Source organism: Homo sapiens, chromosome Y, assembly GCF_000001405.40.
Source record: "Homo sapiens chromosome Y, GRCh38.p14 Primary Assembly".
Lineage (NCBI taxonomy): Eukaryota > Metazoa > Chordata > Mammalia > Primates > Hominidae > Homo > Homo sapiens.
The window spans coordinates 2530551-2547429 of NC_000024.10; positions in this window are offsets into that span (position 1 = coordinate 2530551).

Here is a 16879-nt window from a genome sequence, read left to right on the forward strand (position 1 = left end):
TGTCTCTACTAAAAATACAAAAATTAGCCAGGCTGGTGATGTGCACCTGTAGTCCCAGCTACTCAGGAGGCTAAGGCAAGAGAATCACTTCAACCCAGGAGACAAAGGTTGCAGTGAGCCGAGATCATGCCACTGCACTCCAACCTGGGTGACAGAGTGAGACTCTGCCTCAAAAAAAAAAAAAAAAAAAGCATAAAATCATATCTTTTGCAGCAACATGAATACAGCTGGAGTCCATAATCCTGTCAATTAATGCTGAAACAGAAAACCAAATACCACATATTCTTATTTATAAGGGTGGGGCTAAGCATTGCGTACACATGGACTTATGTCATGGGAAGAGCAGTCACTGGGGAATACAAGTGGGGGTAGAGAATAGGAGGATAAGGGTTGAAAAAGCTCCTTTTGGGCACTATGCTCACTACCTGGGTGACGGTTTCATCTGTACGCCAAATCTCAGCATCACACAATATACCTTTATAACAAACCTGCACAGGTACCCACTGATTCTAAAATAAAAGTTGAAAAACAATTAAAAAAATAAAGTGGTGCTTGCCACTCTTGGAACAGGCCTTGGTCCAGTCTGAACCAGCCTTTGCAAATGAATTGGTAGAGACGCAAAGTTTCTACTCTAAATAGGTCAATAATGCCTTCTGGAATTGTAAGAAATAAGGAAATTCTCGGCCGGGTGTCATGGCTCACGCCTGTAATCCCAGTACTTTGGGAGGCCAAGGCGGGCGGATCACAAGGTCAGGAGTTTGAGACCAGCCTGGCCAACATAGTGAAACCCCATCTCTACTAAAAAAAATACAAAAATTAGCTGGGTGTGGTGGTGCGCACCTGTAGTCCCAGCTACTCAGGAGACTGAGGCAGGAGAATCCCTTGAACTAGGGAGGCAGAGGTTGCAGTGAGCTGAGACCATGCCATTGCACTCCAGTCTGGGTGACAGAGTGAGACTCCGTCTCAAAAAAAAAAAAAAGGAAATTATCCTAAAAACATGTGCAAAATCTATATTTGAGGCTCTGCGTTGTTGACCCGAATGCTAAAAAGATCAGCATGAAAGGATATGAAACTTCCAAAGAGTCTCCAATATTTTCTCATCTCCTGGCCTCTCCTTTGTAATTTAAAATAAAATTACTGGACCTCACACCAAAAACTTAGTGCTTCTCTCAAGCCAAGTACCTACATTACATTTGACAGGCCACCACCCCCAGATGGCCTTGGTTTTCTTGTCTGCAAAATGGAACAGGATGGACACATGCCCTTTGAGACGTCCCCAAGATCCAAATTCGATTTGTGCTTTTACTAAGATGTGGCCTCAGGCCAGGCGTAGTGGCTCACGCCTGTAATCTCAGCACTTTGGGAGGCCGACGTGGGTGGATCACCAGAGGTCAGGAGTTTGAGGGCAGCCTGGTCAATATGGTGAAACCCTGTCTCTACTAAAAATACAAAAATTAGCCGGGTGTGGTGGTGAGCGCCTGTAATCTCAGCTACTCGGGAGGCTGAGGCATGAGAATTGCTTGAACCTGGAAGGCGACGGTTGCAGTGAGCTGAGATCGTGCCACTGCACTCCAGCCTGGGCAACAGAACAAGACCCTTTCTCAAAAAAAAAAAAAAATGTGGCCTCTATGATTTTACTTCCTTGTTTTCTGCATTGCACCTCATAGCTGCTAATATAAATTCTAAACAGGCCAAGTGTGGCAGCTCATGCCTATAATCCCAGCACTTTGAGAGGCTGAGGCAGGAGGACTGCTTGAGCCCAGGAGTTCCAGACCAGCCTGGGCAATATAGCAAGATCCTGACTCTACAAAAAATAAAAAAAATATAAAAAATTAGCTGGGCGTGGTGGTACATACCTGTAGTCCCAGCTACTCAGAAGGCTGAGGTAGAAGGATTGCTGGATCCCAGGAGTTTGAGGTTGCCGTGAGCTATGATCAAGCCCCCGCACTCCAGCCTGGGTGACAGAGCAAGACCCTGTCTCAAAAAAATTATAAATATTCAACTTATTTTGTTTAAGTTTTGCCATATACCCATGTGCACATGCACATACATGCGTGCACACACACGTGTGTGCACACACACGCACACACACACACAGCTAGAAATTCCACAACAGCTTTAATTGCTGTAAGTTGTTCTTTACAATATTCCCAGTGCTCAGAACCGAGCAATGCACACAGTAGGTGGTAATTAAATATTTATTTATTTATTTTTGAGGTGGAGTCTCACTCTGTCGCCCAGGCTGGAGGGTAGTGGTGTGATCTCCGCTCACTGCAACCTCTGCCTCCTGGGTTCAAGTGATTCTCCTGCCTCAGTGTGCTGAGTGGCTGGGACTACAGGCGTCCTCCTCCATGACCAGCTAATTTTTGTATTTTTAGTAGAGTTGGGGTTTCACCATGGTGACCAGGCTGGTCTCAAACTCCTGACCTCAGATGATCCACCCGCATTGGCCTCCCAAAGTGCTGGGATTACAGGTGTGAGCCACCGCACCCAGCTGGTAATTAAATATTTGATGCATGAATTGGTTACGGGTCGAAGTATATTTCCTGTCCCCCAAAGATACGCTAAAATGATAACCCTTGGGACCTATGAGTGTGACTTTCTTTGAAACCAGAGTTCTTCTACATATTATTAATTACATGAAAACGAGATCATACTGGATTAAGGTGGGCCCTGATCCAATCACCTGTCTGTGCTGCTATCACGAAAATATCATAGACTTGGTGGCTTGTAAACAACAGACATTGATTGACTGGGTGTCTTATAAACAACAGACGTTTATTGACTGGGTGGCTTATAAACAACAGATACTTGTTGACCGGGTGGCTTATAAACAATAGACATTTATTGCTCACCTTCTGGACGCTGGAAGTGCCAGATCAAGGTATGACAGATTGAGTGACTCGAGGGGACTGTCTCTGTTTCCAAGATGGCGCCCTGTTGCTGTGTCCTCACGTAGCCTTAGAGCCCAGCCTGTTCCCTCCAGCTCTTTTACAGAGCGCTAATCCCATCCATTAAGGCAGATCCCTCATGAGTTCATCACTTCCTAAAGGTCCCACCTCTTAATAAGGTTGCATCGGGGATTAAATCTCAACAGGACTTTTGGAGGGAGGCTGTTGTCATTTCACCTTTCAGCACAGACCAAACATCGCCCCTTAAAAAACCAGGAAGCTTCCCCAGAGAGAATATAAATTATGTCACTAGATTTTATCTGTGTGTCCTGCGTCTCTCTGTTTCACGTTCTGTGGGACTTCTTATCCTTCAGTGAATTATTTGAACTGGATCTCTAGGGCATGTTTCTGAAGGGCTTGACTTGTTTTAAAAATTGAACAAATACATTATTCATCTTAGCTTATTTCCTGTTCTGAGTTTTTTTTTCTTTAATGGGAGACAGAAGAAAGCCAATTTATATAACAGATCTGATTGCCAAATCAGTAGTCTTTACATGTTCTTGCCTTTCAGCTAAAACTGCAAGTTAAAACTAGAGTTTTTTTGTCTTTTGTTTTTGTGCATTTAAATCCTTCTATTTTAAAATAATATGCTTAAAAAAATAAAGAAAAATAGCCACCCATGCAACTCTCTCTCATTTGATATTTTCATTCACAGCCAGTGTTGGTCCCACCCGTCAGATATCTAGACTGTCATTTGGTGATGAGATTTTCCCACCTGGGTGCTAAAGAGACCACCAGGTTTTTCACCGTGTTACTCAACGCTGGCACTTAGCTCCAGTTCTCAACAATAGACAGTTTTCACAAGGCCTGTTGCTCACAGGGTCTCTGCAGAAATATTTTGACATCCTAAAATCTGCTTCCTGTTGGTGTACCTCCTTCTGTGGAAGAAAAAGAGGATAAAAAGCACATCTTTCTTAAAACCCAGTCTTCATTGAGTAACAGAACATCTTTATGGAGCATTATTCATCTCCTGAAGACCAGATGATGTTGCTCATTCATCAACTTGATCATTAAAAAGTCAGGAAACAACAGATGCTGGAGAGGATGTGGAGAAATAGGAACGCCTTTACACTGTTGGTGGGAGTGTAAGTTAGTTCAACCATTGTGGAAGACAGTGTGGCGATTCCTCAAGGATCTAGAACCAGAAATACCATTTGACCCAGCAATCCCGTTACTGGGTATATACCCAAAGGATTATAAATCATCCTACTATAAAGACACATGCACATGTATGTTTACTGCAACACTGTTCACAATAACAAATACTTGGAACCAACCCAAATGCCAATCAATGATAGACTAGATGAAGAAAATGTGGCACATACACACCATGGAATACTATGCAGCCATAAAAAAGGATGAGCTCACGTCATTTGCAAGGACATGGATGAAGCTAGAAACCATCATCCTCAGGAAACTAACACAGGAACAGAAAACCAAACACTGCATGTTCTCACTCATAAGTGGGAGGTGAACAATGAGAACACATGGACACAGGGAGGGGAACATCACATACCAGGGCCTGTCAGGGGGTGGGGGCCTGGGGGAGGGACAGCATTAAGAGAAATACCTAATGTAGATGACAGGTTGATGGGTGCAGCAAACCACCATGGCACGTGTGTATGTATGTAACAAAACTGCACGTTCTGCACATTTCCCCAGAACTTAAAGTATAATAATAAAAAATAATAATAATTTTTTTTGATGAAAGGACATAGTTGAAACTGCATCTTTAAGTGGTGACCTCCCTGGCTCTGGCTTCTTGTCCCTTTGTGGGCAAGAGGAGAAAGACATTCTGCTTGAATGGAAACCGAAGGTTTCTCCAAGCATGAAGGAAGAAGAGGGGGGTTACCAAAGATTGTTAGAAGTCAGGACTTACCTTGACATATAGCAGAAGCAAGGAACCAGGGTTTCCACTCTGTGAGTTTGGAAGAAGCTGAGCAGGAACAACAGAGATATGTCCCTGAGGGTGGACCTCATTCTTCGAGGTCCTATGCTAGCAAAACAGGTGCTGGAGAGGAGGATGTACTCATTATTGCTTTATTTCATTCTACCATTTTTTTTCTTCAGATATGATACTTACTTCTATCCCCTATATTTCTTAGCTTTGCTTTTATACTTCCTATTTCTTTTTCCTTTTTCTTTCTATGAAATTTCTTCTATCTTGTCTATAATTTTGGTGATTTCTCCCTCACCTATATACATTCTGCTGTTTATCTACTGAAAAATTTATTTCATTGATTATATTTTTGCAACCTAATATGATTTCCTTCCTCATCTTCTTGTGTACTGTTTCATATTGCTTATATCTTCCTTTTTTATTATTTATTTATTATTATTATTTTTTGAGATGAAGTTTCACTCTTTTTGCCCAGGCTGGAGTGCAATGATGCGATCTCAGCTCACTGCAACCTCCGCCTCCCAGGTTCAAGCGATTCTCCTGCCTCAGCCTCCCAAGTAGCGGGGATTACAGGCATGCGCCACCACACCTGGCTAATTTTGTATTTTTGGTAGAGACGGGATTTTTCCATGTCGGCCAGCCTGGTCTCGAACTCCTGACCTCAGGTGATCCACCCACCTTGGCCTTCCAAAGTGCTGGGATTACAGGCGTGAGCCACTAAGTCCGGCCCCTTTTTTATTTTTTAGTATGCTTACTCGATGGATTATATATTATTATCCTGATAAAAGAAAAACTTCAGCCAAACTAAATTTAAAGGAGTTCAATTAAGCAATGAATTTAACGGATCGGGCAGAATCACTGCAGATTCACAGAGACTCCACCGCAGCCATGTGATGCAAGAAGATTTATAGACATACAAAAATAAAAGGGAAATGACATACAGAAATCAGCAGGGAGGTACAGAAACAGCTGGCTTGGTTACAGGTTGGCATTTGCCTTATTTGAACACGGGCTGAACTCTCAGCAGTGTATGAATGGTTGAAGTATGGACGCTGGGATTGGCCAACACTCAGTTACGGTTACAGCCACATAAGCCTAAGTTAGGTTTTCAATCTTGCCTGCCTATTAAGCTAGGTAAGAGTTCATCCACAAGGACTCAAATATAGAAGTATGGACTGCTTCCCAGGCAATATTTAGTTTGATTTAACAATTCTCAGGGTGGGTGTGGTGGCTCACGCCTGTAATCCCAGCACTTTGGGAGGCCGAGGCGGGCTGATCACCTGAGGTTGGGAGTTCAAGGCCAGCCTGACCAACATGGAGAATCCCCGTCTCTACTGAAAATACAAAACTAGCCAGGTGTGGTGGTGCATGCCTGTAATCCCACCTACTTGGGAGGCTGAGTCAGGAGAATCGCTTGAACTCGGGAGGTGGAGGTTGTGGTGAGCTAAGATCACACCATTGCACTCCAGCCTGGGCAACAAGAGCGAAACTCCATCTCAGAAAAACAAAAACAAGAACAAAAAACAAACAAACAAAAATCCTCAATATTCTGTTTGCTTTTGTGAAATCTTTATTTAATATGCTAGATTTTTTTAAATGTTGATGCTTTGGAAAAGCGTTGTTATCTTTGCCTATGAGCAAGTTTTTCCCGGAGTATTTGGCTTTTCTGTGAAGTAACCCCATGTCCTTTTGAAAGACTGTTTCTGGAAATGCAGCTGCCAAGTTGGGAGGAAACCCAAGCAACCATTTGGGAATGACCCCACGGAAGAGAAACAAGGCCTCTGGCCAACACCCCCAGCTCTTCCGAGGTACCTGCCAGCAACAACTCTCAGCCATGTGAATGAAGTCACTTCGGACTCTGCACCTGCCTCAGTGCTCCAGCCACCACCACCACATTCAGCAGAACCACCTGGCCAACCCATCAGATAATGAGAACTCATATATTAAGTCCTTAAAAAAAAAAAAAAAAAAGCACCAGCTGATGCCGTCTTTGCCTGCTGACACCTTCACCACACCCTTTGCTCTGAAAAATTCAGTTGACAAAATTAGTTTGAAATGCGAATGCCAGGGCTTTATTTATTGTCATTATTTTGGACAATATCCCCAGTACGTTTGGGACATTTTATCACCGTTCAAAGGACCTCTTAGTGTGGAGAAAACTGAGCCTATTTCGGATTTCAAATAAGTAGGAGAGAGATTTAAAATTACTCTGACCTAGTAAACTCTCAAAAAAAAGTAATGCATTTCCCTAGAATGAGATGATATTTGAAAAGCTGATTATAAATCATTTCATTCTACTCACTAAATCAGGGCTGCGTTGCTCTGCTATCTATTAGGACTTTAATAATGTGTTACCTTTTGAATGCAGTAAGAATTCAATCTTTGAAACTCTCATAATACAAAGCTTAGGATAATATAAACTCAGTCAAAGTGAGATTCTTTGACATGAACTCTTCATGTTTTTTCATTCAAAGAGGAGAACTCTGTCCTTTCCTTCATTCTCCCTTTTTTAGTAGAAAAAGTAATTCTTGTAGAAGATACGTATTCCTTCAGATCTCTCAAATTTCCTCTCTAGTGACATCTGCTTCACCAACATTCCTTTTTTCCCCTTTTCCTTGTTCTTGTTCATTTTCCTTTATCGTCTGTGTTTTTCTCATACTTAATTTGCTTCGTGATTTAGGAACTTTTGTTTTACTGGGATTTGTCACTTGAAAGTCCCAATCCTTTCACGGTCTATCCAGGCCTTTCAACCGTGCCAATAACCGGCTAAGTCTGCAGTAGTCTGGATGGAATTCCAGACGGCGTCCAGTCTTTGTCTCTGCAAGCCTGCTTCTCATTGACTCTTAGATCGGCTCTCCTGTTCCAGCTGCAATTTTCCACAGTGCCTCTTTGTTTCAGAATTGGAGCAGTAACCCCTTTTCTTTTTATTTCCAGTCAGCTTTTTTTCCTGCCCCCAAGTAGCAGAGACTGCAGTGCACATAAAGTTAGGGACTCAGCTTGTGTCTGCATAAATATTTGACCTGAATCTAGACAAGATGCAGGTGCGTGGTTTTTCTGATTTATTTTTACACTCAGGCAACTCATCTTTTTTGCTGCTTCTACCCTCGTGAGAGGTAAGAGCTGGGAGTCACACCAGATTCAATTCAGCCAGTGTGCTGCTATCCGTTTCTTTTAGGCTGACTCTCTCTACTGTTTGACACAGCTGCCTCGCTAGCTCATGGCCATGTGTAAAATCAGCATTAAGGGGGCTGGGTGTGGTGGCTCACGCCTATAATTCCCGCAGTTTGGGAGACCGAGGCAAGCAGATCACCTGAGGTCAGGAGTTGGAGACCAGCCTGGCCAACATGGCAAAACCCCATCACTACAAAAATACAAAAAATTAGCTGGGCATGGTGGTGCACGCCTGCGGACCCAGCTACTCGGGAGGCTGATGCAGGAGAATTGCTTGGACCCGGGAGGCACAGGTTGCAGTTAGCCAAGGTCACGCCTTTGCACTCCAGCCTGGGCGACAGACTGAGACTCTGTCTCAAAAAACAAAAAACAAAACCAAAATCAACATTAAGGGAAATTGAACAATATATTAATTATTGACTGGGCTTTCAGGCACCATTGTTTAAAAAGACTTGCTGAAAAACAAAGCAAGCTTACCCCATTTCCTCTACTCCATCCGGAGTCAACTGTCACAGCTAAGAGTTGTGATGATCTCCAAAAAGTGTTGGATATTGGAAGCCTTGATGTTCGAACTGCAGAGATTTTTCTACAGCAGAAGTGGAAGAAGGTTTTCTGGTGAAGGACAGACTTGAAGATAGCTCACCATGATTCTCATATTGTGATATTCATTTCTTGCATGATCCCCTCCCATTGAGTATGGACAAGACCTGGGACTTGCTTCTTTCTTTTTTTTTGAGACGGAGTTTCGCTCTGTCACCCAGCCTGGAGTGCAGTGATGCAATCTCAGCTCACTGCAACCTCCGCCTCCCAGGTTCAAGCGATTCTCCTGCCTCAGCCTCCTGAGTAGCTGGGATTACAGGCACATGCCACCACACCCGGCTAATTTTTGTATATTTAGTAGAGACGGGGTTTCATCATGTTGGTCAGGCTGGTCTCGAACTCCTGACCTTGTGATCCTCCCACTTTGGTCTCGCAAAGTGCTGGGATTACAGGCGTGAGCCACTGCGTTCGGCCTCAGTACCATACGTTTTACTATAGATATCATCTCCAAGGAGGGCAGAGAGAAGAGTAAAAATAGCAAAATTCAGAGATGGTTACACACTTTCTTTTTGTTGTTATTGTTTTCATTCCTTTGTCCTCTGCTACATCACAGGCTTTCAGTTCTCCAAGTGGGATGCGCTGTGGTGCTTATTTAATTTCAGTCTCCTTTTCCCAGTCACCTGTTAGGAAGCTGTGGGTTCGTCCTTGTTCAATTAGTCATGGAATTTGAACACTGATAATGGCTTCTGAAATGTAATTTAAATTGTAGATTTGTGATATCTGCTAGTATGTATTCATTCTCAAAGCCAGCCTCATTTTTATTAGTCACAGTTTTGAATTATTTACTAGTTTCTTTCATTAGAATTGAAAAATGATATTTTAGATTGTTTCAGATGTCTGTGCCTTAAAGTAAATGAAAATGGGAGCTGAAAGAAATCTATATCTTTCTTACTCTGAGAGCAATTCATGGACATTCCCTTCTGTTTATAGTTTCATAGGAGTTTTAAGTGATTTTAAAATACAGGGCTTCCAGTTATATTGGGGGAATAATTTTTTTGTGTGTGTGTGATGGAGTCTTGCTCTGTTGCCCAGGCTGGAGTGCAGTGGCATGATCTCGGCTCACTGCAACCTCCGCTTCCCAGGTTCAAGTGATTCTCATGTCTCAGCCTCCCAAATAGCTGGGATTACAGGCACAAGCCACCATGCCCGGTAAATTTTTTGTACTTCTTTAGCAGAGACAGGGTTTCACCATGTTGGCCAGGCTGGTCTCGAACTCCTGACCTCAGGAGATCCACCCGCCTCGGCCTCCCAAAGTGCTGGGATTACGGGCATGAGCCACCGTGCACCTGGCTGATTTTTTTTTTTTTTTCCTGAGTCTCAGTCTCTTGCCCAGGCTAGAGTGCAGTGGTGCAATCTTGGCTCACTGCAACCTCCGCCTCCCAGGTTCAGGCGATTCTCATGTCTCAGCCTCCCAAATAGTTGGGATTACAGGCACGAGCCACCACATCCGGCAAATTTTTTGTGCTTTTTTAGTAGAGAAAGGGTTTCACCATGTTGGCCAGGCTGGTCTCGCACTCCTGGCCTTAGGTGATCCGCCCGCCTCGGCCTCCCAAAGTGCTGAGATTACAGGCATGAGCCACTGCGCCCGGCTAGGAGAATGATTTATCAGTGCAAGTTGTTTTATTACTGATAAACTACTGGAGAATGGATGCACATTTTTCTTGAACTTTCTGTTTTTCTTTTTTTTTTTTTTTTTGACAGGGTCTAGCTCTGTCACCCAGACTGGAGTGCAGTGGCAGGATCATGGCTCACCTTAGCCTTGACCTCCCAGGCTCAATGATCCTCCCATCTCAGCCTCCCGATTAGCTGGGGACTGCAGGCACACAACATAATGCTCAGCTAATTGTTTTTTCTTTTTCTTTCTTTCTTTTTTTTTTTTTTTTTTGTTGAGACGGAGTTTCACTCTGTCACCAGGCTAGAGTGCAATGGCTTGATCTGAGCTCACTGCAATGTCCACCTCTCGGGTTCAAGCGATTCTTGTGCCTCAGCCTCCCGAGTAGCCAGGATTACAGGCACGTGCCACCAGGCCCAGTTAATGTTTGTATTTTTAGTAGAGACAGGTTTCAACATGTTGGCCAGGCTGGTCTTGAACTCCTGACCTCAGTTGATCCTCCCACGTTGGCCTCCCAAAGTTCTGTGATTACAGGCATAAGCCACTGCATCCAGCCTAATTTTTATATTTTTTTTTTTTGTAGAGATTGGGTTTCACCATGTTGTCCAGGCTGGGCTCAAACGCCTGGGTTCAGGTGATCCTCCCGCCTCAGCCTCCCAAAGTGCTGGGATTACAGGCGTGAGCCACCATGCCTGGCCTCTGGGGCTTTCTTTATTTGATTGCTGAGCTGTTTTCCTTGTGGATCATTGAAAGCTACGCCCTCAAAAGGCAAAAATGGGCAGCTCCCTGCATCTTGCATTCAGGTTTCTGAAAAAAAAAAAAAAAAAAAAAAAAAAAAAGCTTAAGTCACACTGACTGCTGGTTTTTTCTTGTCATATTGAATCTCCAAGATGTGCCTTCAGACATTTCCTCTGGGTCTGTTGGAGGATAGGTTTCGTTTGACCTGAGATTTCATTAATTTTCTCCGAGAGGCGTTTGCTTAGATGTTTCCATGTCACGTGAACCCCTCCTCTCCGTGGTTTGGGTTTTGTTTGGGAGTTGTTTGGGGTTTGTTTGGGGTTTTGTTTGGGGTTTTTCTGAGATGGAGTTTCGTTCTTGTTGCCAGGCTGGAGTGCAGTGGTGCAGTCTTGGCTCACTGCAACCTCCACCTTCCAGGTTCAAGCAACTCTCTGACCTCAGCCCCCCAAGTAGCTGGATTATAGGCGCCCGCCACCCCTCCTGGCTAATTTTTGTATTTTTAGTACAGACGGGGTTTCACCATGTTAGCCAGGCTGTCTCAAACTCCTGATCTCAGGTGATCCGCCCACCTCGACCTCCCAAAGTGCTAGGATTACAGGTGTGAGCCACCGCACCCGGCCTACTTTCTTACTTAACCTGATGTAATGTCTTTCACGTGTGTTGGAGTTTATGGAACTTCAATTTCATTGATGGACGACTACCCCAGGCACTTCCATTTTATTCCTTTCACCAGATGTTCCTGTTTAATTCTCTCTTATTAATGTCATAACCTGCTCGTGTTCTTTTGTACAAATAATAAACGTTCATTCATGGGAATACCTCAATGCAAAAACGTGTACTCACCATCCTTCCTCAATTTAAGTGCTTAAAAAAATAACCTCTAGGCCAGGCGCGGTGGCTCATGCCTATAATCCCAGCACTTTGGGAGGCTGAGGTGGGCGGATCACGAAGTCAGGGGTTTGGGACCAGCCCAGCCAACATGGTGAAACCCCGTCTCTACTAAAGACACAAAAGATTAGCCAGGCATGGTGGCATGGCGCCTGTAATCCCAGCTACTCGGGAGGCTGAGGCAGGAGAATTGCTTGAACCCGGAGGTGGAGGTTGCAGTGAGCCGAGATGGCACCATTGCACTCCAGCCTGGGCGACAGGGCAAGACTCAGTCTCAAAAAATAAAATAAACTAAAATAACCTCTAGGCTGGGTGCAGTGGCTCAGGTCTGTGATCCCAGCACTTTGGGAGGCTGAGGTGGGCGGATCACTTGAGGTCAAGAGCTCAGGATCAGCCTGGTCAACATGGCGAAAACCCATTTCTGCTAAAAATACAAAAATTAGCCAGGTGGGGTGTCGGGTGCCTGTAATCCCAGCTACTTGGGGGGCTGAGGCAGGAGAATAGCTTGAACCTGGGAGGCGGAGGTTGCAGTGAGCTGAGATCGCACCACTGCACTCCAGCCTCGGTAACAGAGCAAGACTTCATCTCACAAAAATAAATAAATAAATAAATAAATAAATAAATAAATAAATAAATAAGTAACCTCCAAGCCATAATTTTAGTGATGGTTTTACTTTGTTTGACATGTACGTTTTAAAAGAAATTTATAATAAGAAAAAATTATTGAACATAATTATGTTACTCATGATGTGTCCATCCTCACTCCCCCAAAAAATTGGCATCAAAATCTCACTTTGACTCCAGATGTTTACCAAAATGCATTCACTTTCAGCTGAAAGATGTTTTGTGGCCAAAAAGAAAAAAATAACCTGGAAATAGACCAATGTTTCCTCATGCTGCAAAAGGTCTGCTTTGGCTTGATAAGGCGATCAGGTGTTTGCAAAACATTTCCACCCTCTTTTTTTTTTAGTAACAGAAAAGTTGGCACTTCTGCTAGCCCAACATTTTTGCACACAGAAGTTTTCTCAGTTAAAAGCTGCCTGGGACGGTGCCTCCAGCTTGAAATTCTTCTGCATCTCTGCACAGCACTGTGCTGAATTTTGCAAGTGCCGCCAACAAGAAGCTGCGGCAGGGTGCTGGGAATTTCACAGAAAGCTATTCCCTTTTTCCTACCTGGTTATAGAAACTGCTTTTTCTTTAGAATGTTATAGTTACCCTTTGAATAGTGGCTTATCATTTCAATACATTTTTGTATGAATTTTAAATGCCTATATTCAACCCAACTTTTTCCTTTCTCCTAGGGGGCTGATACCGTCAGGACAGCGGCTTGCTGAAAGTTTTAACAATGAATTCTGCAAAAAAAAAAAAAAAAAAAAAGAAACCCTGGTCAGAGCCTATGCCAATTTCTCTGGTGTAAATTTTCCTCTTGTGGTTGATTTAAAGGTACTCAGGTGAGATTATGGAATGCGGATTTGGAAAGAGATAATGCCCTGTTGGTTCTCATAAGCTCATACGAGCTACTCCTAGCACCCCTGTATGTCAAGGTGTACAAGGCAGAGAAAGATGACAAGCTGGTGATCTTGGGAGGGAAAACCTTAGTCCCCACAGGTGATTGGTTCAAAGGGCGCTATGACCACTGCAGCAGGAGCACAATCTGATATGGAGTTCAATGCTCCTGGGAAGATGTGTTTAGACCGGGGATCTCCAACCCCTAGCTGCAGATTTGTACCAGTCTGTGGCCTGTTAGGAACTGGGATGCCCAGCAGGAGGTGAGCAGAAGGCACCTCTATTTACATCTGTATTTACAGCATCTGTATTTGCAGCTGCTTCTGATCACTGCCATTACCATCTGAGCTCTGCCTCCCGTCAGGTCAGTGGTGGCATTAGATTATCGTGGAAGCATGAATCCTATTGTGAACTGCCCATATGAGAGATCGAAGTTGCATGCTCCTTATAAGAATCTAGTGCCTGATGATCTGTCACTGTCTCCCATCAACCCCAGATGGGACCATGTAGTTGCAGGAAAACAAGTCACGGCTCCCACTGATTCTACATGATGGCAAGCTGTAGACTTATTTCACTATGTATTCCAATGTAATAGTAATAGAAATAAAGTGCACAATGAATGCAGGGTACTTGAATCATCCTGAAACCATCTGCCCATCCCCTGGTCCACGGAAAAATTGTCTTCCGCAAAACCTGTCCCTGGTGCCAAGAAGTTTGGGGACCACTGGTGCAGACCTTTCTCCCCTCCTTCTGAAAATCTTCTGGCCAGAGTCCTGCTGTGTGACGGTTAGGATTGAGGGTCAACTTGATCGGATTGAAGGATGCAAAGCATTGTTCCTGGGTGTGTCTGTGAGGGTGTTTCCAAAGGAGATTCACATTTGAGTCAGTGGACTGGGAGATGCAGACCCACCCTCATTGTGGGTGGGAACGATCTCATCAGCTCCCAGTGTGGCTAGGATAAAAGCAGGCAGAGGAACATGGAATGAGAAGACTTGCTGAGTCTCCCGGCCTCCATCTTCCACCCGTGCTGGCTGCTTCCTGCCCTCGAACATCAGACTCCAAGGTCTTCAGTGCTTGGACTCTTGGACCTACAGTGGTTTGCCAGGGGCCTATCGGGCCTTTGGCCACAGACTAAAGGCTGCACTTTCAGCTTCCCTACTTTTTAGGTTTAGGGACTCGGACTGGCTTCCTGGCTCCTCACCTTGCAGATGGGCTATTGTAGGACTTCACCTTGTGATTATGTGAGTCAGTTATCCTAGTAAATTCCCCTTCATATATACATCTATCTGATTAGTTCTGTCCCTCAAGAGCACCCTGACTAATATATACTGGAAATGGCCTCTGTTACCCAGACATGTGCCTCCAAGGAGAAAGTTCTTGGAAGCCAGATGAGTTCTCTCTATGACCTTCAGTTCAACACGTGGATGAAGGTGTGGAATGAGGCAGTAGGAAGGGCTCTGAGCCAGGCATGCTGAGAGCTTATCATCACATAACAACACTGGGATTGTCAGGCTCTTCAGAGATACAGAACTAATATAGTTTGAATATTTGTCTCCTCCAAATCTCACTTTGAAATTTGGCCCCTAATGTTGGTGGTAGGGCCTAGTGGGAGGTATTTGGGTGATGGGAGCAGATCTCTCATGAATGTCTTTGTTCTGTCTCTACAGTAATTAATGAGTTCTTGCTCTGTTTGTTCACATGAGAGCTGGTTGTTTAAAACAGCCTGGCACCTCTCTCTCTCACCTCCTTTCTCACCCTGTGACATGCCAGCTCCACTTCACCTTCCACCATGAGTGGAAGCTTCCTGAGGCCTCACCAGAAGCAGATGCTGGCTCCATGCTTGTACAGTCTGCAGAACTGTGAGCCAAATAAACCTCTTTTCTTTATAAACCACACAGCCTCTGGTATGCCTTTAGAGCAATGTGTATTAGTTTGTTCTCACATTGCTATAAAGAACTATCTGAAGCTGGGTAATCCATAGAGAAAAAAGGTTTAATTGGCTCATGGTTCCATAGGCTATACAAGAGGCATGGCTGGGGAGGCCTCAGGAAACTTACAATCATGGCAGAAGGTGAAGAAGAAGGAGGCACTTCTTACATGGTTGGAGTAGAAGAAACAGAGTGAAGCAGGAGGTGGTACACACTTTTAAACAACTAGATGTCTTGTGAACTCACTCACTATCACACAAACAGCAAGGGGGGAATCCACCCCTTGATCCAGTCACCTCCCACCATGCCCTCTCTCCATTATTGGAGATTACAATGGGATGTGAGATTTGGGTGGGGACACAAATCCAAATCACATCACATTGCAAAACAGACTAAGACAAGAACCAGACAAATAAACATATAAAACAGGATTCACTCTGGGAATTGGCCCACATGATTATGGAGGCTGAGAAATTTCATGATCTGCCATCTGGAAGCTGGAGAACCAGGGAAACGGGTGGCACAAAACAGTCAGAATCCAAAGGCCTAAGGGTGGGTGTGGAAGGTGCGGGGAACTGAGGGGCTCTGCTCGTGTAAGTCCTGGAGTCCAAAGACACAAGAACCAAGAGCTCTGCTCTCTGAGGAGATGGATGTCCCAGCTCAAAAACAGAGAGGAAGTTTTCCCTTCCTCTACCTTTTTCCTCTACTTGGGCCCTCCATGGATTGAGTGATGCCCACTCCTAGTGGTGAGAGTCTTCTTTACTCAGTCTGCTTGTTCAAATGCAAATCTCTTCTGCAAACACACTCACAGACACACCTAAGGGTTTTACCAGCTACCTGGGCGTCCCATAGCCCAGGCAAGTTGACATGTACAGTTAACCATCACTTCCACCTACACATTGGCTGAGTTCCTCCATCTGCCAGGACTCCCTGGCCAATGTGGAATAACACTCTCTTGGCTTCCTTCTGAGGCTTGCTGGGGAATCAAATGAGAATTTGCAAGCCTGAAAGTTTGTATTAAAGAGTGTGATGCCAGTTTTTGATATTTGGTTGCTGACAACTTCCAAGTGCACCCTCTCAATTCCCGTGGAATGGAGATATCTTTATTTGTCTGGTTCTTGTCTTAGTCCATTTTGCATTGTGATGTGATTTGGATTAGTGTCCCCACCCAAATCTCACATCCAATTGTAATCTCCAATAATGGAGAAAGGGCATGGTGGGAGGTGACTGGATCAAGGGGTGGATTCCCCCCTTGCTGTTTGTGTGATAATGAGTGAGTTCACAAGACATCTAGTCTGTTCTCCCCACAAATGATGACAAAGCACATCTTGGCAAACTGCTGATAAAGCCCAGGTGCTTGCTCCTTTGGTGCCAGTGGGAGCTTGAAATCAGGTAAGGCCGGGTGTGGTGGCTCATGCCTGTAATCCCAGCACTTTGGAAGGCTGAGGTGGGCAGTTCACTTCAGGTCAGGAGTTCGAGACCAGCCTGGCCAACATGGTGAAACCCCGTCTCTACTAAAAATACAAAAATTAGCCAGGCGTGGTGGCATGTGCCTGTAATCCCAGCTACTTGAGAGGCTGAGGCA